The 22,979-nt window shown below is 50.9% G+C and overlaps 1 protein-coding gene across 35 annotated transcripts in view, besides 4 other annotated features; it reads right to left on the bottom strand.

Annotated features, from left to right (window-relative positions):
- The window catches only part of PPARD (peroxisome proliferator activated receptor delta), an 85,621-nt gene that overhangs the window by 25,020 nt on the left and 37,622 nt on the right, over nucleotides 1-22,979 (bottom strand). For 6 of the 35 annotated variants that reach the window (XM_047418919.1, XM_047418922.1, XM_047418929.1 and 3 more), the window contains 2 exons: nucleotides 6,054-6,182; nucleotides 5,566-5,661 (listed from right to left, as the gene is read on the bottom strand). The exons of 20 other annotated variants lie outside the window; for them this stretch is intronic. The gene's annotated coding sequence lies outside the window, so the exon portion shown is untranslated. Of the gene's footprint in view, nucleotides 1-5,565; nucleotides 5,662-6,053; nucleotides 6,183-10,303; nucleotides 10,470-10,615; nucleotides 10,689-19,267; nucleotides 22,652-22,979 lie in introns of those variants that run through there. 9 more of the 35 variants (XM_047418930.1, NM_001171818.2, XM_047418933.1 and 6 more) reach the window with 5 other exon arrangements.
- Nucleotides 8,717-8,766: an enhancer, noted in NCBI's record as "active region_24404". NCBI's record gives its function as "activates an Ori minimal core promoter by ATAC-STARR-seq in GM12878 lymphoblastoid cells {active_cell/tissue: GM12878}" and the evidence as "EXISTENCE:reporter gene assay evidence [ECO:0000049][PMID:35858748]".
- Nucleotides 8,787-8,836: an enhancer, noted in NCBI's record as "active region_24403". NCBI's record gives its function as "activates an Ori minimal core promoter by ATAC-STARR-seq in GM12878 lymphoblastoid cells {active_cell/tissue: GM12878}" and the evidence as "EXISTENCE:reporter gene assay evidence [ECO:0000049][PMID:35858748]".
- Nucleotides 10,692-11,260: an enhancer, noted in NCBI's record as "H3K27ac-H3K4me1 hESC enhancer chr6:35359676-35360244 (GRCh37/hg19 assembly coordinates)". NCBI's record gives its function as "activates a minimal SCP1, AML or CMV promoter by ChIP-STARR-seq in naive H9 embryonic stem cells {active_cell/tissue: H9 hESC(naive)}" and the evidence as "EXISTENCE:reporter gene assay evidence [ECO:0000049][PMID:30033119]".
- Nucleotides 19,268-19,870: an enhancer, noted in NCBI's record as "H3K27ac-H3K4me1 hESC enhancer chr6:35351066-35351668 (GRCh37/hg19 assembly coordinates)". NCBI's record gives its function as "activates a minimal SCP1, AML or CMV promoter by ChIP-STARR-seq in naive H9 embryonic stem cells {active_cell/tissue: H9 hESC(naive)}" and the evidence as "EXISTENCE:reporter gene assay evidence [ECO:0000049][PMID:30033119]".

Here is a 22,979-nt window from a genome sequence, read left to right as displayed (position 1 = left end):
AAGGGACCTCCACAGACAGAACTTCCCAGTTCCCTGCCTCACCATCAATTGTGGGGAGAGAACCGGCAGGGAGCCCCCTACTCTGGGCACATGCTTCTTTTTTCAGGGAGAAGGGCCTAAACCTTCCTCCCCTTCTCGCCCCACATGCAGGTGACCCAGTTGCTGTCACCTCCTTCCTCCCATACTGCAACGGAATAAGGGGCAGCCTCTGGATACAAGACAGAGGTTGCCCCGTCTCCGTGGCAGGTGCTTTTGGGATCAGAAGTGAGGGATGTCATGGGAGAATGGGTCTGGCTGATTCTCTCCCAACCTTTCTTATCAATCATTAATCCAAGTGCTGACCTAGTGACCTGGTTTTCTAGGCCAGCAACTCTGCCGTGTTCTCTGCTTACTATTTGCCAATCCAGGTCACCCCACCCTCTTAAGGACACAGGAGAAGCCCGGGTGGCCTTCTAGCTGGCCAGAGTCAGCCCAGAGAGTCACCTGAGGCCAATCCCCAGGAGTGGCCTGGGGCTGGTTTTGTTCAGAGAGTGCTGGAACCAGAGAAAAGACAGCCAGGAGGCCACCCACGCATTCCACAATTCTTCCCATTGCCCCAAGAGGCAGCCCCCTAGGAACAGCCTCCAGGGCTGGAGAATGTCCTGGAGAAGAGACCAGAGACAGGAGGGTACTCTTCACCAGGGATAGGAAAGCTGCCACAGAAGGGGGCCTTGGGTGTGCCCACCCACCCACCTGCAGTAGGGAGAAAGGGGCACCCAGATCCCTGCATCACCTCTCCACTGGGAGCACTAACGTGCTGACCACCTCTGACCGCAGCCACTGAAGACTGCGAAAAATCTGTGGTTTTCACAAAGAGAAGCTCAGCAATGTCAAAGCACATACACATGCATAAAAACAAAACTGAAAAGACATGGCCACAAATGTTAAGGGTACTTTTCTCTGAGGGGTGGAGCTGTAGGTGATTTCGATTTTCTTAATTATATTTTCCTATGTTATCCAATTTCTTCACAGTGAGCGTGGGATACCTTTATAATCTGGGGTTGGTCGGGGGAAGGGGGAGACATTTTTAAAACCAAATAAAATGCTGAGAGATGCCAACGAGGTAAAGGAAAGGCCTGCTCAGGTCCCAGAAGAGACCCAGATCTCTCCTACTGAAGCCTGAATGGGCCTGAGACCCCTCACACTACATGGAGAGGGCTTCCAGGGTAGGGTGGTTCTGCCGGCCAGCAGAGAGACTCACCAGAGACCGAGCCAGAGCCCTTCTCAGCTAAGACCACAGGGGCTATGGTTGTGGACACTGTCCCTGCCCCTCTGCCCTTCTGGTCCCTGCCAGCTGGTTTCATTCACTTGTTCAACAAATATTTGTCAAGTACCTACCACCATGTGCCAGGCTACATTAGCCAGCAATGACCAGGGCTATGAAGGACAAATGCCAAGCAAGGTGTGGCACTCAGAGCACATGAGTCAGGTGCGAGTGGCCAGGAGACGCTTTCCTGAGGACCTTACGTAGCCTCTGGCCCAGGCAGGCTGAGTGGGATTCCAGGGTGATGGGAACAGTGATGTGAAAAGGCCCAAGGAATGAGGACCTGGGCTGTCTGTGGGTAGAGAGAAGGGCTGTGGCTAGAGGTCACTCAGCGTCTTGAAGGGTAAGCTGAGGATGTGGGTATTTATTCTGGGAGGAGCAGAGAGCCAAGGGGGTTATGAAGAGGATGGGGAGGAACAGAGCTGCATTTTTACAAAGACTTTTCAGGCTGCTGTGGAGAACAGACTGAAGATGAGAACAGACTGAAGGTGATAACAGACTGAAGATGATTTCAGCCAGGCTCGGAGGAGCAATAGTTACAGCAAACCTGGCAAGGGAGTCGGCAGGAGGGGAAGGCCACCTGGAGCCCTGCAAGGTCTGGGAAGCAGCTGCCTGTTGTGTTCCTGGGAAGACTCAGGCTGAGGAGTTGAGGGATGGGGCCCTGACTCAGAGCTGAGTACCTCTCTGGCTGCCCCACCTGTGTCCTCACTGAGTAAAATGTCAGAATTAGATCATCTCCAAGGCCTGTTCCTGCTCTGCCCTCCCAGGGTTCAGCCTCCCAGAGGTCCTGGTCTCAGTGATTCCCGACTATGACACACACATACAAACACAGGTATCTGGGGAGCAGACGTGGCGCTTGGCACTGCTTGGCATGAGGCCAATCGATACTAACAGCCACATTCCCAGGCTTGACAACTACACCCAAGCCCCTCACACATCTGACACAGAGCTCTTGTGACCAGGATGCCAACCATAGGTCAACAGCCCTGCTTTAGGGGCTCTGTGGTTACAATGTGGACACCACCACTTATACCTTTTTCTTTTCTTTTTTTTTTTTTAAGACAAGATCTCCCTGTCACCCAGGCTAGAGTGCAGTGGCACAATCACAGCTCACTGCAGCCTCGATTTCCTAGGATCAGGTGATTCTCCCACTTCAGCCTCCTGAGTAGCTGGGACCACAGGTGTGCACCACCACGCCTGGCAAATTTTTGTATTTTTTGTAGAGACGGGGTTTTGCCATGTTGCCCAGGCTGGTCTCGAACTCCTGGGCTCAGGTTATCCACCCGCCTCAGCCTCCCAAAGTGCTGAGATTACAGGTGTGAGCCACCATGCCCAGCTACCTATTTCTTTACAAACAATTAAGACTAGGACAGCCCTTTAAGGGCACCTGGCTAGCTCAGTTGGTAGAGCATGAGACTCTTAAGTTCCTGAAGTGCTTTCAGGTACATCACACATCACTTAATCGACCCAGTGAGATGAGTGAAGGCAGGGCTATTTCATTTATCACTACACCCCCTACTCTGAGGGAAGCTCTGACTGGCTCTTGCTCGCCTGTGAATGCTCTAGGTGAGGGGACGAAGGCTGGTGGTAAGGAGAAGGGCAGCCACTGAGTGGGTGGCCAGCAGGCCCCATGAGAGGCAATGAAACTCTGACTGGCCCAGGAGAAATGGGACGTGCAATTGCAGCGGGGAGGCAGGAATAGGGATCTGCAGGGCAGAGAGACTTCTCAACCTTCCCAGGGAGAGAGGAGACATGGAAAAATCCCACAGTTAAGCTGTGATTGGTCGGTCTGTCCAGGAGAACCCAGGGATCTCAAGTTCAAGTCTCACCTAAAAGCGTTCACGTTCTTTGACCCTATACTTCCCCTTATAGGAAAACACTGAGCTGTTCACTGCAATGTTATTTATAATAACAAAAAATCAGAAATGGCCCAATGCCCAATAATAGAGGAATGGTTAAATATATTAGGGCACACCCAGACAACTGAGTATTACCTAGTCATTAAACTCATGTTTTCATAGAATATTTAATAACATAAGTGAAAAATACAATACGAATTTACATAAAGATCATGATTCTCATGAAAATGACTAGAAAAAGAATAGAAGAAAGTTCCCCTGTATGAAGAGGGTGGTAGGTGATTTTTTTGAGACAGAGTCTTGCTCTGTCACTAGGCTGGGGTGCAGGTGTGACCTCAGTTCACTGAACCACCTCCTAGGCTCAAGTGATCCTCCTACTTCAGCCTCCAGAGTAGCTGGGACTACAGATTCATGCCACCACACCCAACTAATTTTTGTATTTTTAGTAGAGATGGGTTTTCACCATGTTGGCCAGGCTGGTCTTGAACTGAACTCCTCCCGGATCACAAGTGATCCTCCCGCCTTGGCATCTCAAAGTGTTGGAATTACAGGCATGAGCCACTGCACCCAGCCTTTGTTTTTTTTTTTTTTTTTTTTGAGACAGAGTCTCACTTTGTCGTCCAGGCTGGAGTATAGTGGCACGATCTCAGCTCAGTGCAAACTCTGCCTCCCCGGTTCAAGTGATTCTCCTGTCTCAGCCTCCAGAGTAGCTGGGATTACAGGCACCTGCCACCACACCCAGCTAATTTTTGTATTTTTAGTAGAGATGGAGTTTCACCACGTTGGCCAGGCTAGTCTTGAACCCACCTCAAGTTATCCGCCTACCTCGGCCTCCCAAAGTGCTGGGATTACAGGCATGAGCCACTACGCCCGGCCTTTTTTTTGGGGGACAGGGTCTCACTGTTGCCCAGGCTGGAGTGCAATGGCTCGATCTCAGCTCACTGCAACTTCTGCCTCCTGGATTCAAGCAATTCTCCCACCTCAGACTCCCATAGCTGGGACTACAGACATGCGTCACCACGCCCGGCTAATTTTTATATTTTTTGGTAGAGTCAGGGTTTCACCATGTGGGCCAGGCTGATCTTGAACTCATAACCTCAAGTGATCCACCCACCTTGGCCTCCCAAAGTGCTGGGATTACAGACATAAGCCACCGCGCCTGGCCAATGTCACTGTACTTTGAAACTTTCGGTAACACTTATGATCTTTATTTTACTTGACCCACGATAGCATGTGATAGTGATATGACTGCTCGATCCCTCCTCCTCTACGCCTTCTCTTCATTTGGCTTCCTCCCAGGTTTTGCTCTGATATCACTGGCTGCTCCGTATCAATCTACTTTGTTGGTCTCAGTCAGTAATTTTCTTCCTAATCTCTAAAGGTCTCTTTCATTCTCCATCTACGCTCCATCTCTTTCTGATCTTATGCCAGCTTGTGCCTTCCAATGCCTTCAGTATGCTGATGATTCCCCAATTTATTTCTCCAGGCCAGCTTCTCTGACACCTCCACACGGATGTCCAATGGCAGCACAAGCCTAACACATCCAAAACCGAGCCCTTTACCTTCCCCCCATGGTCTCTCTCATCTCAGTAAATGACAACTCCAACCTTTAAGTTAGAGTCAAGGAATCTTGCTGGCTTTGCCTTTAATAAATATACGGAATCTAATTACTTCTCACCACCTCTACTGCTATGACCCTGGTCCCAGCCAACACCATCTCCTGCCTGGATTACTTAACAGCCTCCTAACTGGCTTTCTGGCTTCTGCCTCCCACCTCACCACCCACTCTCTGTACAGCAGTCAAAGTGATCCTTCTAAAATACAATTCAGATTCTGTCCCTCCTGTGATCAAATCCTTCCTGGAGCTTCCTATCACAGAGAAAAAGCCCATCTTAATACCTGCCAGCAAGTCCTTCTGGAACTGGTACCCCTGCCTGCTCCACTCCTTCTGGTATATTAAGTACCAGGCACACGGCCTCCTGCTGGTCTCGACACAGCAGGCATATCCTGCCTTCAGTGGGCCTTTGCAGCGGCTTTTCTCTCTAGCTAAAGTTCTTCCCCCTCCCCAGTTACCCACCTCCACAGCTCACTGCCTCACCTTCTTCAGGTCCTTTCTCAAATGTGGCCATCTCAGTGAGGTCTTCCCTGGCTTCCCTATTTCAAATATGCGTAGTCCACCCTCAGGTACTTCCATCTCCCTTCCCTGCTTCAACTTTCTCCATCCGTCTTATGGCTATCTGGCAGAGTGTATATATATTTCCTTATTTGTTTAGTGCTTGTCTCTTCCCAAAGAATATAAGCCCCAGGAGGCAGAGATTTTTGTCTGTTGTTAGATTCACATAACCCTCAAGTATCAGAGGAGCAACTGGCATAATTGCAAAAAGACGTCTGTTCACCACGCACCTTGAAGCAGTCCTGTAGAGATCACTGCTCCACGGGCTTCAGTTTTCCAGGGGTATCTGACCCTGCTTTCCAGACCACTCCAGACCATTCCAGACCCTTCAAAGGAGGAGCTTATCAAGATGAGCATAAATTGGTAGAAATGTGGTGGAGAGCGAATCTAGAAGCCTGAGGGGCCTAGCAGCGTCTGGCTAGTTCTTTTGCTAATCTGCCAAGTGACGTTGGGGTTGGTGGTTCTGTGGTGGTGGTGGTTGCGGGAGGGGGGGCTTCATTTTTCCCATGGGGAGGCAGCACTGGTGCTTCTTCCTCCCTTAAACTATACAATCCTCTTGCTGAGCAGATCCCAAGGCTACTATTACTCAGTGGAGGGAGGCCTCCCTGACTCAGAGTCCTAGGTCAGACCCAGGGTGGGGGTGGGGAGGTGCTGACAAATCCTCAGGTGCCTTTAAAACGTTTATATTTTCAGGGCGAAAGATAAGACCAGTCAGTACCTGCACCTACTCACAGGACAGGCTGTGCACGAGGGAAGAGTGAAGGGCAGCTGAGTCCTGAGGAGGAAATTGCCTCTGGAGGCCTCAGGGAAGGTTCAAGGTCAAGGAGAGCTGGGTCTTCAAGATAATCTGAAAAGTACACTATGCTAATTATAGAAAATACTGCTGGGCACAGCAGCTGGGCAGGGAGGTTGAGATGGGAGGATTGCTTGAGCCCAGGAGTTCCAGACCACCCTGGGCAACACAGAAAGACCCTGTCTCATTTTTTTCTTTATTGAGACAGAGTCTCACTCTGTTGCCCAGGTTGGAGTGCAGTGGTGCAATCTCGGCTCACTGCAACCTCTGCCTCCTGGGTTAAAGCGATTCTCCTGCCTCAGTCTCCTGAGTAGCTGGGACTACAGGCGCATGCTACCACGCCCAGCTAATTTTTTGTATTTTTAGTAAAGACGGGATTTCACCACGTTAACCAGGATGGTCTCTGTCTCCTGACCTCATGATCTGCCCGCCTCGGCCTCCCAAAGTGCTGGGATTATAGGCATGAGCCACCACGCCTGGCCTTTTTTTTTTTTTTTAATAAAAACAATTTAAAGAAGAAGAAATAGGGCTAGGCGCGGTGGCTCACGCCTGTAATCCCAGCACTTTGGGAGGCCGAGGTGTGTGGATCACGAGGTCAGGAGATCGAGACCATCCTGGCTAACACGGTGACACCCTGTCTCTACTAAAAATACAAAAAATTGGCCAGGCGTGGTGGCGGGCGCCTATAGTCCCAGCTACTCGGGAGGCTGAGGCAGGAGAATGGCGTGAACCTGGGAGGTGGAGCTTGCAGTAAGCCAAGATCGTGCCACTGCACTCCAGCCTGGGCGACAGAGCGAGACTCTGTCTAAAAAAAAAAAGAAGAAGAAGAAGAAATAAAATACTTAAGAGTTTCAAAGAAGAAAATAAAGATTGAGGGGTAGGGTGTCCTAGGTAGGGGAAATGTAGGATCCTAGACCCAGGAGAGGAAGATGGAGAAAGAAAGAAGGAGACAGGGAGGCAGGGAATGGAAAAGGCTGGGTAAGCAGGTCATACCAAATGCATGCAGAAGACCTTCTACAACTCTTCTTCCATGGAGCCTACCCAGCTTCCGTGTGAATCAAACAGTGCACAGCACCTCTGTGTGCCAGGCATTATTCTAAGCTGCTTTCATGGAGTAACTCCCTTAGGTTTTACAAGTGGACTATAAGGCAGGTACCCATTATCCCCATTTACAGATGAGAAAATTGGAACATGGAAGAGTGAGGTAACTTCCAAGACTCTGGGAGCCGGGAGCCAGTAAGCCATCAGAGCAGGAGCTCTTAACCACTCTACTGTACTGCCTCTCGCTACTATTCCTGAACTCTAATGCTAAAAAGGTGTTCTGTATCCTGACCAATTAGACTCTCCCTTCAACTAACTGCCATTCCTGGTCCTGTCCTGCCTGGCCCTGGTCACCAAGTCTTGGCCTGCACCTTTTCCTCCCCAAACCCATCTTCTCTAGGTGAAACCTCTGTCACTGCAGCATTTGTCATTTGACAGGTTCCCAAACCCTCTTCCTTAGTTCATCACGTCCTCTTGATGTGTGGCTCCTAACACTCCCAGGAAGTAAGATGAAGTTAAAGTGTTGAAATGACATGTCCCCCTGCTTACAGTCCACTATGACTCCCAGGCAGACCAGTCATCACTGCCTGAACATCAAGTCAGGCCTTCCTGTGCTTACGGAAATAGAAGGGGGCCCCTTTACATCCACCCCTTCCAAAGTTTATCCTGTTGCTCCTGACCTGTCATTAGAGCTCTTTGAGGGTTTTCTAAGCCCGATTCTGTTCTCTAAAGCGCAAACAATCCCTTGTCTCATATTGTCTGTAAACCTGAAGAGCGTGTCTTCTACCTCTTCTCCTAAGTCAATCAGGGGCTTTCCTCAAGCAGTCATCTGTCTATTAACCTTCGGATAAGGCAGTTCAATGCATCTGAAATCCAATGCCTGGCACCCCCCTCTCTGTCCCAAGGTGCGAAGACAGCAAGTGGGCTACAGTGGAGAGAGCATTAGTGCTGAGTTATATGACAGGTACACCCCCAGCTCTGTCTTTACTATGCTGTGTACCTCTGGGCAACCTGCTACCCTCTCTGTGGCTCAGGCTTTCTATCTGTGAGATGGGACTAATGACCATGTGCCTTCTTTAATGGCAGTGGCAATGCTGAGATGAGGGAGCAAATGTAAAAGACATTTGTATTATACACACCAAAATGTTACCTCTTAGGGGTCATTTCTACTTTTTTTATTGCTTATCTGATTTTTTTTTTTTTTGGTGGGGGGGGCGGGGAGACAGGGTCTCACTCTGTCACGTAGGTTGGAGTACAGTGGCATGATCTCGGCTCACTGGAACCTCCACCTCCTGGGTTCAAGTGATTCTCCCACCTCAGCCTCCCAGGTAACTGAGACTACAGGTACGCACCACCACACCCAGATAATTTTTGTATTTTTAGTAGAGATGGGGTTTCACCATGTTGGCCAGGCTGGTCTCGAACTCCTGACCTCAGGTGATCTGCCTGCCTTGGCCTCCCAAAGTGCTGAGATTACAGGCATGAGTCATCATGCCCGGCTGCTTATCTGATTTTTCTACATTTTCTAAAATGAACATGTGCTGTGTCTAGTAAGCAAGTTTTTTAAAAAAAGGTTTTACAAGCAGATATAAATGATTGTAGAAAATAAGATGAAGTAGAAAAAGCTGAAGAAGACTACCTCAAGATCCATGTCATGGAATTCTCTGCAGATGCCCAAGAGCAGCAGGTGGCACAGACATGGTGCCATGGCAGGATGGCCGTGACATACAGCCGAAGAAAACAGGAAGTGGCCGAGCTGCGCATCCGCGACACACTCATTTTGTTTAAGACACTGATGCAGAGCTACACACACTTGCCCCACAACCTAAACTACTGGGAGGGGAAACCAGTCTAAGAACAGGAGGGAAGGGAGAATGAGGGGGACTGGTGGGGAGATAAATACCTTTATTCATGTTTGTAGTTTAAATTGTTTTTAAAACGAGCATCAACATCTTTTGTAATAAAGTGGAGTAGAAGAGTCAGGAGTCTTGTAAATGGATCTCACTCGAGTAAAGGCAGCCCAGGAGCTGCAGGCACATACTGACACCAGTAAAGAAGCAAAGCTCTCCTGCTGCTCAATCTCACAGAAATGTTTAGTCTTGTTCTCAGTCCTCCTGTCCCTTTCCAAGTGCATGCCTAGCTGGTTGCTTTCTAAGGTCCCATATAAGCACCCACTTAACAAATATTTGAGAAGCATGAAGTCCCCAAGAAAGGAAAGGAAGAACCAGAGTGAAAGGACAGATAAAACAAGAGGTTTCAAATCTCAGGGAGCCCAGAAAGACTTCTTAAGCATCAAAGCACCCTAGAGATTCAGAAAATTGGCCCATGCTGTCACCTCCCAATTCTCACATAATTCTGACAGCAGCTTCTGGATTTTATATTATACCTGCATGACAGCCCACTTCTCAGTAAGAACATGGGTCAAAAACTGCAATCTCACTCCTCAGGACTCAGAGCCAGGAGGAGGGGTATGCAGGATAAGATAGGGAAATGCCAGAACCGGAGTGACTTATTGATGACACTTGGGGAATACATTCAGAGAGTGCAAGGTCTCACACGCCAGGTCATGTTAGGCTTCTAACCAGTCTGGATCTCAGCCCACCTAGCAGGAGAGAGAAGGGACTCTCTTGAAAGAGTCAGGAAAAGCACTGCCACTGTTCACTGAGCAAGCATTACAAGCAGTGATGACCGGGAGTCTGTCTATAAACCCTGTTTCCTTTCGGGGCTCTCCCTCCCAAGATGCCCCCTCCCTCCGCTCCTGCCCACTTGGCTGCCAGAGCCCTGGGGGTCTCTCCATGATGGTGGCCATGAGCCAGGGGAATAAGAACTCCCCAGAGCTCCCCACAGGGCCCATACAGCAAAGCCTATGCCTCACCAAGCCACTGGCCCTGGTCCTGGCCCTGAATTTGGCCCCCTTCCTGGAGGCCTATGAGGATGAATAGTGTAAAGAGAGGTAACAGGAACCTCAGAGGGCTGATCCTCAGGGTCTCTCAGTTCTATAGCAACAGGACAACATGACCTTGACAAGGAGCACCATTTCCTGCTTCAGCCGGAGCCAGTTTTTCCCAAAACAACTGCTCTGGGGAAGGACACCAGGGTAACATGAGGAGCAGACACTGGGTCTTTCTACTTACCAAGTGCTCAGGTGCTACTGGCCCTGGGGATGGCTGCTAACTGGAAGATGACAGGTTGGTGGGCTGCTGGTGGGTCACCAGAGCAGAAGGTCACTAAGAGCCATTCTAGAGTGCTCCAGAGTCGCTGTCACAGCTCTCCTTTCTCGCTGCCTCCTCAAGAACCTCCACCCAAATCCTGGGGCGTCCCGAGCACGTAGGCGGTGTCTCCCCACCCACAATGACCTGCTTGGCAAGGCTTGGCACACCTTTCCCCCATTAATGCTTCCTGTCTCCCTCTCTCCCCCGAGGAACCCAGGCAGGCTGAGGCAATACCTTCCTTCATCCATCTGGACTGGCCTTGGAATTCCTGGGCCAATCTGGGGATCCCATGCATCAACCCTAAAGTGGGCCAGTGCCAGGTATGTGCAGCCTGTACTTCCCAGTCTGGGCAGGCGGAGGCTGGAACGGTGCCAGCAACTCACCTCTGCAACACAGCATGGAAGCATTTATTTCAAGGGTGGCTGGGGAGCGTCCAACAGCCCGCCTCCCAGCTTGCAGGACAGCCTGCCACATGCAGGGGAGGAACCAGTTTGCTTTGGGCAAACTGCTTCACTTCTCTGAGCCACCCTTGAAATAAATACTTCCGTGCTGCGTTACAGAGGAGAGCTGCTGGTGCGGTTCCAGCCTTTGCCTGCCCAGACTGGGAAGTACAGGCTGCATATACCTGGTGCTGGCACTGGCCCATGTTAGGGTTGGTGCCAGGGTTCCCCAAATTGGCCCAGGAATTCCAAGGGCAGTCCAGATGGATGAAGGAAGGCACCTCTCTCTTCCCTCTCACCTGTCAGGGCCTATAAGGCTTGGTGCTCTTCTGCTTGGTTCCGAGCACAACATCTGAGTGGTCAGTGCCACAATCATAACAACCAGCTGCCTCACAAAGGAGGCAGCTTGGCATAAGGACAAGGGCAGGGCTTTGTCCCCAGACAAAAATGGGTTTGAATCCTAGCTCTGTCACTCACTAGCTGAGTAGCTTTGGGCAAACTGCTTCACTTCTCTGAGTGTCTATTTCCTTATACGTACAGTCTCACATAGCTCAGAAATGACTTGGCTATGGTCACAGGGAGAGATGGCTGTAGAGCTTGGTCCCAGGTCCTGACATACTGGCTTCCAGAGCTTGTCTGACTATACTAGGATGTTTCTTAACTGCAGCTACACGTGACAGAGAAAACAGTCGTCTCTTTTCCTAAATGGCTGTCAGCAATTCCCAAAGTCAGGGAAAAGTTCCTTTCGAAGTTCACTGCCTTAATACAAAAGTAGCCTTCACAGATGCCAACTTAACTAGGTGAATCAAGTTAGCATCACTTTTACTAGGGCCAACTGGCACCACTGTGCCTCCTGATGTAAGCAACAGGAAGCACACCTCATCTATGTGGGTTCCCACCAACAACGTAAACCCGAATCTAATCACAAGGAAACAATCCAACAGATATGGAATGTGGACAATCTATGACACATCAAGCAAATGCGCCAAACTGTTAGCAACTGGTGAATCTTGGTGAAGGAAATACAGAAATTCATTGTTTTATTCTTTTAACTTTTCTCTAGTTTTAACCTTTAAGAGTAACTTTTAAATATTAAATATGTGTAGTATTACTCTTAAATCATTAAGTGATTTTTATTTGGTATTCATTTTGTGTTAATGCTCTCTTCCGCATTTTCTATTATCAGATGTCTATATCAGATAGAGATCATTTTTACATGCTAATGAAATATATACAATCATATATCACAATATATTTGTCCATAATAACAATAAACTATGCATTTATTTTATTTTTATTATTTTAATTTTTTAGATGGGGTCTCACTCTGTCACCAAGACTGTCACCACCCGGAGTGGTGCTATCATAGCTCACTGCAGCCACAAACTCCTGGGCTCCAGTGATCCTCCTGCCTCAGCCTCCTGAGTAACTGGGACTACAGGCACATGCCACCATGCTGGCTAATTTTTTTTATTTTTAATAGAGACAAAATCTTTCTCTGTTAACAGGCTGGTCTCAAACTCCTGAGCTCAAGCCATCCTCCTGCCTTGGCCTCTCAAAGTGCTGGGATTACAGGTGTGAGCCACTGTGCCCAACCAAACCACCAAACCACGCATTTAATGTTACATCTTTTTTTCTCTTTTTCTTTTCTTTCTTTTTTTTTTACAGAAACACCTCTGAAATTTTATCACAGAAAAAATAATTCCATTTATTATTATGACCACTCCTTATTTAAAAACTCATAAAGTGTTAGGAAAGATATAGAAAAAGTTATGATTTTGGGCATTCCAGGGAATTTCTATTACTTGTTCCTCAATCCTGAAAGTTAATAACTGTTGGGAATTTGGAAGTACCAGCATCTTGATGGCCAGCCTTCGTTATGACCCCTGCTCCCACATGGCAACATTCCACCTAGTAGCTCCAGCCAGAGAGCCCCACTCAAATAAAATATCATTTATGGGACTGTTTCAGGCACCATGTACAAAAGCACTGACCTAGACCCCTATGGGGAGAGATGACAAAAGGAGTAAAACACAGCCTGCCCTTGAAGAGGTAAGTATACAAACTGTGTGATGGAGGGCACATAAGAGGTGGCCACTGTGGAGGAAGAAATATTCCAACTTGGGAGCAGCAGGGATGATTCTGGAGTAGGTGTAATGGCCCTTTCTTCTAGCTGGGCCAGAAAACTAGAAAAGGCACTCCCAGGGAAGGCCAAGGTGAGTCAGGCAACGCAGCCGAGAACACAGGGCACATCTGGGAATGGCGAGCTGTCCGCTTTGGCTGGGGCACCCCACTCTCTGAAGGACAGATAAAGGGCCAGGACCTGGCTAGCCTTGAATTCCTAGTTTCTAAGGTGTATAGACTTAATTTTGAGGCCCGGGGTTCTGCCCTCTGGTTCCAATGACTGTAAGAGTGGAGAGGGGCAAAGAAAGTCACCAGGGCCCTTCAGAAATGACACAGTGAGAGAGGGTGAGGGTCTGAAATCTCATCTCTCACCCTTTCAAAATGATACAGTTCCTGTATTTTCCCAGGCATAGCTCTTTGCACACTTTCTTGCTATTGCATTTTACTTCTTTATTTTGGGGAATATGCTATTTATTTGCCTGCTTGATTTATAATTGGGGTATAACATACTCATGGTTAGAGTATGCAATCTGCATTAATCTTAAACATAATAAGCCCCATGAATTCCTACATTTATATACCACCATAAAACCATCACCCAGGCTGGGCGCGGTGGCTCACGCCTGTAATCCTAGCACTTTGGAAGGCCGAGGCGGGCGGATCACCTGGGGTCAGGAGTTCAAGATCAGCCTGGCCAACATGGTGAAACCCCTGTCTCTACTAAAAATACAAAAATTAGCCGGGCATGGTGGCAGGCGCCTGTAGTCCCAGCTACTCGAGAGGCTGAGGCAGGAGAATTGCCTGAAGCCAGGAGGTGGAGGTTGCAGTGAGCCGAGATAGTGCTATTGCACTCCAGCCTGGGGCACAAGAGCAAGACTCCATCTCAAAAAAACAAAATAAACAAACAAAAAACAAACCAAAAAAACCCATCACCCAGGTCAAGACAGTAAACATTTCCAGCACCCTACAAGGTTCTTTGTGCCCCTGAACAGCTAATCTCCACAATAAGTAACTACTCCGCTTTTTTTGAGACAGGGTCTTGCTCTGTTGTCCAGGCCAAGCTGGAATGCAGTGGTGGCCTGATCACAGCTCACTGCAGCCTCAGCCTCCTAGGCTCAAGCTATCCTCCCACCTCAGCCTCCCAAAGTACTGGGATTACAGGTGTGAGTCACTGTGCCTGGCTGTAAACCACTCTTCTGACCTCTATCACCATCAGCTAGTTTTGCCTGCTGTTGTGCGTCCAGTTTCTCCTGGTTGGAGTCAGAGCCCACAGAGGGCAGGCACTGAGAGGTTCCTGCTGCCTTGTGGCCCTCTACAGTGCTGGGCACGCAGCAGGCATTTAGATGTCTGATAAGTCAATGATTAGACCAGGTGGTGGAAGCGTGTCCATGGACACCGACCCTCTGCCACATGTTTGCACCTTCTGCCTATGCTGCTCTCCTGCCTGAAATGCCCGCCTCCCCTTTTCCTTTGTCTCATTCCTACCTTCCCCTCTTTTGTTTGAGACAGAGTCTCACTCTGTCACCCAGGCTGGAGTGCAGTGGCGCGATCTCGGCTCACTGCAACCTCCGCATCCCAGGTTCAAGTGATCGTCCCACCTCAGCCTCCTGAGTAGTTGGGATTACACGTGTGCGCCACCACGCCCGGCTACTTTTTGTAATTTTAATAGACATGGGGTTTTGCTATGTTGCCCAGGCTGGTCTCAAACTCCTGACCTCAAGTGATCTGCACACCTCAGCCTCCCAAAGTGCTGGGTACAGGTGTGAGCCACTACACCCGGCCTCCCCTCTTTTTGAGAAAAAGGTTTGGCTCAAGTTCCATCCCCTTCCCGGAAGCTCTCCCCTTCCTGCCCCCGCGGCACGTGCTGCCCACCAGGCTCCTCTGCAGATGCTGCCTCTCATGTTCTCTCTGAGTGGATATGTGTGCACATCTACAGCCTGCTCCTCATCCTGTCTCAGTCTCTCAAAGGAAAGATCCTGTTTTAGTCTGCATTAAATGAGCCCCAACTCCTCTCACTTCCTCCTTGTTTGCAGAGTATCCTAAGCTGCAAAAAATTTCTTCTGGTCTGTCTTCCTCACAGGGCTAGAAGGATCGCACTGGAAAACAGCTATGAAGAGGTTTTATAAGCCACAGTCCACCTAACATACATCATATGTACAACAAAAAAGCTTTAAAAAAAAAAAAAAAAGAATGGCCAGGTGTGGTGGCTCGCACCTGTAATCTCAGCACTTTGGGAGGCCGAGGTGGGCAGATCATTTGAGGTCAGGAGTTTGAAACCAGCCTGGCCAACATGGTGAAACCCCATCTCTACCCAAAATACAAAAATGAGCCAGGCGTGGTGGTGGGTGCCTGTAATCCCAGCTACTTGGGAGGCTGAGGCAGGAGAATCGCTTGAGCCTGAGAGGTGGAGGTTGCAGTGAGCAGAGATCGTGCCATTCCACTCTAGCCTGGGAGACAGCACAAGACTCCATCTCAAAAAAAAAAAAAAAAAAAAAAAGAATGCAGTGTATCTGTATATGCTGATATGGAAAGATTCCCAAGATACACTCAATCAAAAAAAAAACCAACTAGGTGTCAGAGCAATTTAGTGTGCTCCCCACTGCCACGGTGAAGAGCAGGATGAGGATAAAAACACACGCACATGAGAGCGTGCATGGAAAAACCGTGGAAGGAACGATACCCAGGAAACCAATCACCTTCACCTTCACCCCTGGGGCTGGGGTGGGAGATCCTGAGTCCAGTCAGTCCCTTTCTGTCATACAACATTCTGATCTATGTGTTATTTTGTATTAATAAACATTTTAACATAAAAATAAACTAAAATGAGGGGCTGAACTTATACCACCACCACAGTGCTCCCCAGCTTCCTAGAGTTCATCCTGAGGGTAAACCATGGGCAGCTTGCTGAAACCTGGGCTCGGGCCCCAGAAGCCACGCAGATGCTGCATGGGGTCAGTCAGAAATTCAGCACAAGTCAAAGCAGAGAGAAGAAAACATCCTGTGAGCTCACCGACAGCAACCCCTGGGGGCCTGGTAAAGAGCAACAACTGATGCAACTCCACCTTTTGCTTGGTAGCCAAAACCTGAGAGCTCAGAGCCTAGGGCCAAAGGGGAAATAAGGGGCCCAGGGCCCTCTGTGGGCCAACACTGCCGACCCTGTTGTGTGACCCAAACTGATCCAGGACTGGATCAATTTCCAGTTTATATATTTGTCAGGAGGTGGGGGAAAGCAGGTTTCCCCCACCTCCTGACAAATATATAAACCAAGGTTAGGAGATGCAATCTAAGGGAAAGGGCAGAAGGAACAAAGACCTCCAGGGTGCTGCTAGTCTTCACAGCACTAAGGGTCCCACACAGCACAAGACAGGGCCTCCTGGGACCAGAAACCATCCTGTGCTGGAAATGGTAGGAGAAAGACTACAGCAACCTTTTTGCAAGGCTAGGTCTGTCTCTGTCTCTCACATCTATAGAGCAGCCCATTCTGAAGCCTTGCTCTTCACCTTGAGGAGTTCATCTTCAGGGTTATCAACAAACTCCCACTGCCAGGCCAACAGTGAGGTAGATTCTATCATCATTTTCCTATTTTATGTCTGGTGGAGTCTTGGCAGGAGTCTTGACCTTGAAGTTAGTCTCCTTGAAGTTATTCCGTCATCTCCAATATTCCCCAAGATCCAAAAAGCCAAGTACCAAATGAACCAAGTATTTGTTTGTTTGTTTGTTTTTAAGATGGGGTCTCGCTCTGTCACCCAGGTTGGAATGCAGTGGCATGACCACAGCTCACTGCAGCCTCAACCTCCTGGGCTCAAGCAATCCTTCCACCTCAGCCTCCCAAGTAGCTGGGACTACAGGTGTGTACTGCCACACCTGGCTCACTGAAAAAAAAAAAAAAAAAAAAAAATTGTAGAGGTGGGGTCTCACTATGCATCGTGGTAAGAGAGCACGATGCAAAGAATGCAAAGGGCCTTGAAAACGACTAAGAACTACAAATACAAAGCATTAGAACCACCACCAGAGGAACACTGCTTTCTCCTCCCATTTTGAAACAGTTCTCTTGGAGGTCCTGGATGACCTCCTCTCGCCCCGCCATCTAAGAGGCCCTTGGCTGCTGCCCTGGTCCTGCTTCCATCTCACTGCTGCAATGATTCTGTCAACCACTTCCTCCCGAGGACAGGAGGGTAACTTGCCCAGGGTCACAGTCCAACCTCATAAGGATCGCCCTTCCCTCTGGGGGCTTTGCACTCTGCTGCTTGTTCTTCCCTCACCCGCCCTTGAAATGATGATCCTCCTTTCCTACCCCCAACGCCCTCCCCACCCCATTCTGTTCTTGGCTGGCTTCCCTGCTCAATCCATCCGCTGCACAATCCAACCACTGGCAATTTCACACACCGGGACTGCATCCCACACCACTGTCCGGGGCCTCTCTCCTGCTGACTGTCTAAATACCACACGGAGGCCTCGCAGGGGCCTTATAATGCGTTCAAAACACAGTCAATTATCTTCATGCCAGGCCACAGGAGTCCCTGGCAGGCAGCAAGTTACCCATTTGTTTTTTTTTTTTTTTTTTTTTAAATTTATTTATTTTTTATTGATAATTCTTGGGTGTTTCTCACAGAGGGGGATTTGGCAGGGTCATAGGACAATAGTGGAGGGAAGGTCAGCAGATAAACAAGTGAACAAAGGTCTCTGGTTTTCCTAGGCAGAGGACCCTGCGGCCTTCCGCAGTGTTTGTGTCCCTGGGTACTTGAGATTAGGGAGTGGTGATGACTCTTAACGAGCATGCTGCCTTCAAGCATCTGTTTAACAAAGCACATCTTGCACCGCCCTTAATCCGTTTAACCCTGAGTGGACACAGCACATGTTTCAGAGAGCACAGGGTTGGGGGTAAGGTCACAGATCAACAGGATCCCAAGGCAGAAGTTTTCTTAGTACAGAACAAAATGAAAAGTCTCCCATGTCTACTTCTTTCTACACAGACACGGCAACCATCCGATTTCTCAATCTTTTCCCCACCTTTCCCGCCTTTCTATTCCACAAAGCCGCCATTGTCATCCTGGCCCGTTCTCAATGAGCTGTTGGGCACACCTCCCAGACGGGGTGGTGGCCGGGCAGAGGGGCTCCTCACTTCCCAGTAGGGGCGGCCGGGCAGAGGCGCCCGTCACCTCCCGGACGGGGCGGCTGGCCGGGTGGGGGGCTGACCCCTCCCACCTCCCTCCCGGACGGGGCGGCTGGCCCGGCGGGGGGCTGACCCCCCCACCTCCCTCCCGGATGGGGCGGCTGGCCTGGCAGAGGGGCTCCTCACTTCCCAGTAGGGGCGGCCAGGCAGAGGCGCCCCTCACCTCCCAGACGGGGCGGCTGGCCAGGCGGGGGGCTGACCCCCCCACCTCCCTCCCGGACGGGGCGGCTGGCCGGGCGGGGCCTGACCCCCCCACCTCCCTCCCGGATGGGGCGGCTGGCCGGGCAGAGGGGCTCCTCACTTCCCAGTAGGGGCGGCCGGGCAGAGGCGCCCCTCACCTCCCAGACGGGGCGGCTGGCCAGGCGGGGGGCTGACCCCCCCACCTCCCTCCCGGACGGGGCGGCTGGCCGGGCGGGGCCTGACCCCCCCACCTCCCTCCCGGATGGGGCGGCTGGCCGGGCAGAGGGGCTCCTCACTTCCCAGTAGGGGCGGCCGGGCAGAGGCGCCCCTCACCTCCCGGACGGGGCGGCTGGCCGGGCGGGGGGCTGACCCCCCCACCTCCCTCCCGGACGGGGCGGCTGGCCGGGCGGGGGGCTGACCCCGCCACCTCCCTCCCGGACGGGGCGGCTGGCCTGGCAGAGGGGCTCCTCACTTCCCAGTAGGGGCAGCCAGGCAGAGGCGCCCCTCACCTCCCAGACGGGGCGGCTGGCCGGGCGGGAGGCTGACGCCCCGACCTCCCTCCCGGACGGGGCGGCTGGCCTGGCGGGGGGCTGAACCTACCTCCCTCCCTGACGGGGCGGCTGGCCGGGCGGGGGGCTGACCCCCCCACCTCCCTCCCGGACGGGGCCGCTGGCCGGGCAGAGGGGCTCCTCACTTCCCAGTAGGGGTGGCCAGGCAGAGGCGCCCCTCACCTCCCGGACGGGGCGGCTGGCCGGGCGGGAGGCTGACGCCCCGACCTCCCTCCCGGACGGGGCGGCTGGCCTGGCGGGGGGCTGACCCCCCCACCTCCCTCCCTGACGGGGCGGCTGGCGGGGCGTGGGGCTGACCCCCCCACCTCCCTCCCGGATGGGGCTGCTGGCCTGGCGGGGGGGCTGACCCCCCCCACCTCCCTCCCGGACGGGGTGGCTGCCGGGCGGAGACGCTCCTCACTTCCCAGACGGGGTGGCTGCCGGGCGGAGAGGCTCCTCATTTCTCAGACGGGGCAGCTGCCGGGTGGAGGGTCTCCTCACTTCTCAGACGGGGTGGTTGCCGGGCAGAGGGTCTCCTCACTTCTCAGACGGGGCGGCGGGGCAGAGATGCTCCTCACCTCCCAGACGGGGTCGTGGCCGGGCAGAGGTGCTCCTCACATCCCAGACGGGGCGGCGGGGCAGAGGCGCTCCCCACATCTCAGACGATGGGCGGCCGGGCAGAGACGCTCCTCCTTCCTAGATGTGATGGCGGCCGGAAAGAGGCGCTCCTCACCTCCTAGATGGGATGGCGGCCGGTCGGAGACGCTCCTCACCTCCCAGACTGGGCAGCCAGGCAGAGGGGCTCCCCACATCCCAGACGATGGGTGGCCAAGCAGAGACGCTCCTCACTTCCCAGACGGGGTGGCGGCCGGGCAGAGGCTGCAATCTCAGCACTTTGGGAGGCCAAGGCAGGCGGCTGGGAGGTGGAGGTTGTAGCGAGCCGGGACCACGCCACTGCACTCCAGCCTGGGCACCACCGAGCACTGAGTGCGCAAGTTACCCATTTGTTTGCTGAGCTGATCACCATATGCTTCTTTCCCCTCCTGCCACCCCAACTGCTCCACCTCTAGTGCTTCCCACCCAAGTCAATGGGACACCATCCCTTGGGCACACAGGCTGAACTCCAGCACCAGTGGGTCCTCCCTCACCACTCAGGTATCCATTCTCCCCTTTCCTTGACTGGCCAGGTTCAAGCCCTGCCCACTCCTCACCTAGATCTGCCTCTCCACTCCTGTCAGTGACATTTCTAAGCCCAGCCATGACCTGTCACACCCTTGCCCACAAAATCCAACTCCTTAATGTGGCATCCAAGGCTTTCCACACTCTGATACGGGTGCAGTCGCTGCCCAGTGGGCTAGTGGGCTAGCACTACCAGTAGCACTAATAATAATAAAAATAACAATAATGATGATAATAACAACAACACATACTGAATGCTTCCCATGTGTCTCTTCATTTCCATCACAGCCCTGTTGGGGAGGGTCCACAGGATCAAAATTTGACAGATGAAGAAACTGAGGATAGGATGGTAACTTGCCCAGGGTCACAGTACAACCTCATAAGGATTGCACTGTGCCAGAACAAACGATCTTTTAATCCTTTAGCCTTCTCTGACACTTTCAAACTCCTTAGGGGCTGGGATATGCCTGTTTAGAAAATCTCTGCAGCAGGCTTCCCATTGCCTCTCTAACTTCCCAAAGGAAACAGCAATAGATGTTCTTGGGATCAAAATGAAAGATAATGTGGGTCTCCCAAGTTATTCCTAGAATTTTTGAGTTCTAAGAAGGAATATCAATGTCTAACTGTCAATACATTTTATAGTAAGTAGAAGTATTTTTACACATAATTAACACTATAGCATACCAAGACCTCTGGTTAAATTAATGTGGGTGAAACAATTATACCCATTTCACGGGACCTGGAGAATTTTACTGCTCCAAAATTTCATTTTATGGCAAGCACAGTATAGGTGATGCCAGGTGCCTGGTTAGAACATGCCTCCTGACAACGACCCCATTCCTGGAGTAAAGTCTCCTGGCAGTGCCACGGCATGTCCAGGAACGAATGCTCTCCTGCCACAGGCCTCTAATTGCCTAATGGCCCTGGGACTTGGCTCTTCAAACACATGGCTCCCATCCCAGAGCTTCCCACTAGGCCAACTGTTTCTGTTTCCTAAGGTTCTAGGGGCTACTGCTGACGTCAGAATGGAGGGGCAAAAACAAACCCCAACAACAACAATGGCGACAATGACAAAAAGGAGAGAGCAGAAGAGGAAACAAACCACAGGCAAGAATGTCTGCATGACGAACTCTAGAATGCGCCCTTGGAGGGTATGTAAGATACCCACTTCATGCCTTTCTCCACTCTCCCCCTCTTCCTCACCCATCCTGTGTACTGTACTTGTTTACTTATCTATGTCTTCCCTCTGGAATGGGGCACCTTGACTGTTCTTCATAACTAGTAGATTGTAGGTGCTAAATTAATGTTGAATGAATGGCGGCAGACCTTGCTAATTGTTTACACAATATCCATTCTCCCCTTCTTTCTTGGTGACAGAATCCCAATTCTACCTCAGGTAGCAATGTGCTCAGCTAAATGATGTCTCAGCCTCCCTTGCAACTAATGGAGGCAAGGAGGAGAAGCTGAAGCTATTTGGTGGGACTTGCAGGAAAGCTCCTTAAGATGGAGCATGTGTTCTTTTTGCCTTTCCTCTCTTCTTCCTGCTTTCTTCCTAGAACCTGACATGATGGTTGGGGCTCCCGCAGCCATCTTAGACCATGATACAACCTTGGGGTTGGACGCCCTGCACTAAGGATGGCAGAGCGGAGAGACAAGCCCTAGACTGTCCCCCTAGATTTCTTTTCACAATAGAAAAAATTTCTACTGGTTTAAGCCACTGCTATTTCTGTTCTAGCTGCCAAATAGAATTCCTAACTGACTCATGAGTAAACCAATTAAATTTAGTTTTCTTAAATTACTCATCGCTGACCTACAGTTTACAAGGCCAATCACCACCTCTAACCTCTGGTCTTTGTAACGTAACGATAATTTGTCATTACGTTACAAATAATTATTGTTCACTGGAGGTCAGGAGGAGGGAAGGACAGAAGCACTAGAAGGAAGAGGTAGTTCAAGGAGGAGGAGGAGACACTGAAAAGCCAGTGGCCACTGGCTGGTTTTAAGTCTCTGAAAAGAAGATGAGGGACAGAGGCAGGAGGGGAGCAGGAAAATGAGGTGCACGGAAGAGAGGAGATGAGGGGAGAATGCAGAGAGGAACAGATGCAAAAGGCAGGAGCAAAGGAAAGTGGAGCCTGACAGGCAAGGTAGAGACCCTGGAGAGATGGAGCGGTGGAGAGAGGAGAAAGAGAAGTGTGCTGCAGCAGCAATTGCTGCTATGATTTAGAGAACAGGTGCTGCAGGCTGGGCATCAGCACCAAGCACTTTGTATGTATGTGTGCTCCCTGATCCTCTTGCTCCTGCACTAAGTGTTACCATGCCTGTTTTACAAATGAGGTAACTGGTTGGGTGCAGTGGCTCACTCCTGTAATCCCAGCACTTTGGGAGGCCAGGGCAGGAGGATCACTTGAGCCCAGGAGTTCCAGACCAACCTGGGCAACATAACAAGACCCCCAATCTCTACGAAAAAATTTAAAAATTAGCCGGGTGTGGTGCATGTGCCTGTAGTTCCAGCTACTCGGGAGGCTGAGCAGGGAGGAGCCCTGCTTGAGCCCGAAAGGTCGAGGCTGCAGTGAGCCGAGATTGTGCTACTGCACTACAGCCTGGGCGACAAAGTAAGACCTTGTCTCAAAAAAAAAAAAAAAAAAAAAAAAAAAAAACAAACAAAAAAAAAAAACACGAGGTTAATTGGCTCTGAGTATGAATTAACTTTCCCTCAGTCACAGAAAGTGGTAGAGGCAGGCTTTGCTGAAGTCTCCTTAGAAGGGAGGTGAGACATCATTCTTCTGTCTTCTTCTATCTCACTGTGAGATGTGGAACCACGGCAACCATTTTGGACCATGAGGACAGCAGCCACACCCTAAGAATGGCAGGGCACAGAATTGGAAGGAGTCTGGGTTGCTCATGACCTAATGGAGCTTCCACAACTGTCTGAGACTATAGACTACCTAACTCAG

The sequence above is a fragment of the Homo sapiens genome, chromosome 6, assembly GCF_000001405.40.
Source record: "Homo sapiens chromosome 6, GRCh38.p14 Primary Assembly".
NCBI classification, from domain to species: Eukaryota; Metazoa; Chordata; class Mammalia; order Primates; family Hominidae; genus Homo; species Homo sapiens.
This window is presented reverse-complemented; position numbering and strand designations above follow the sequence as displayed.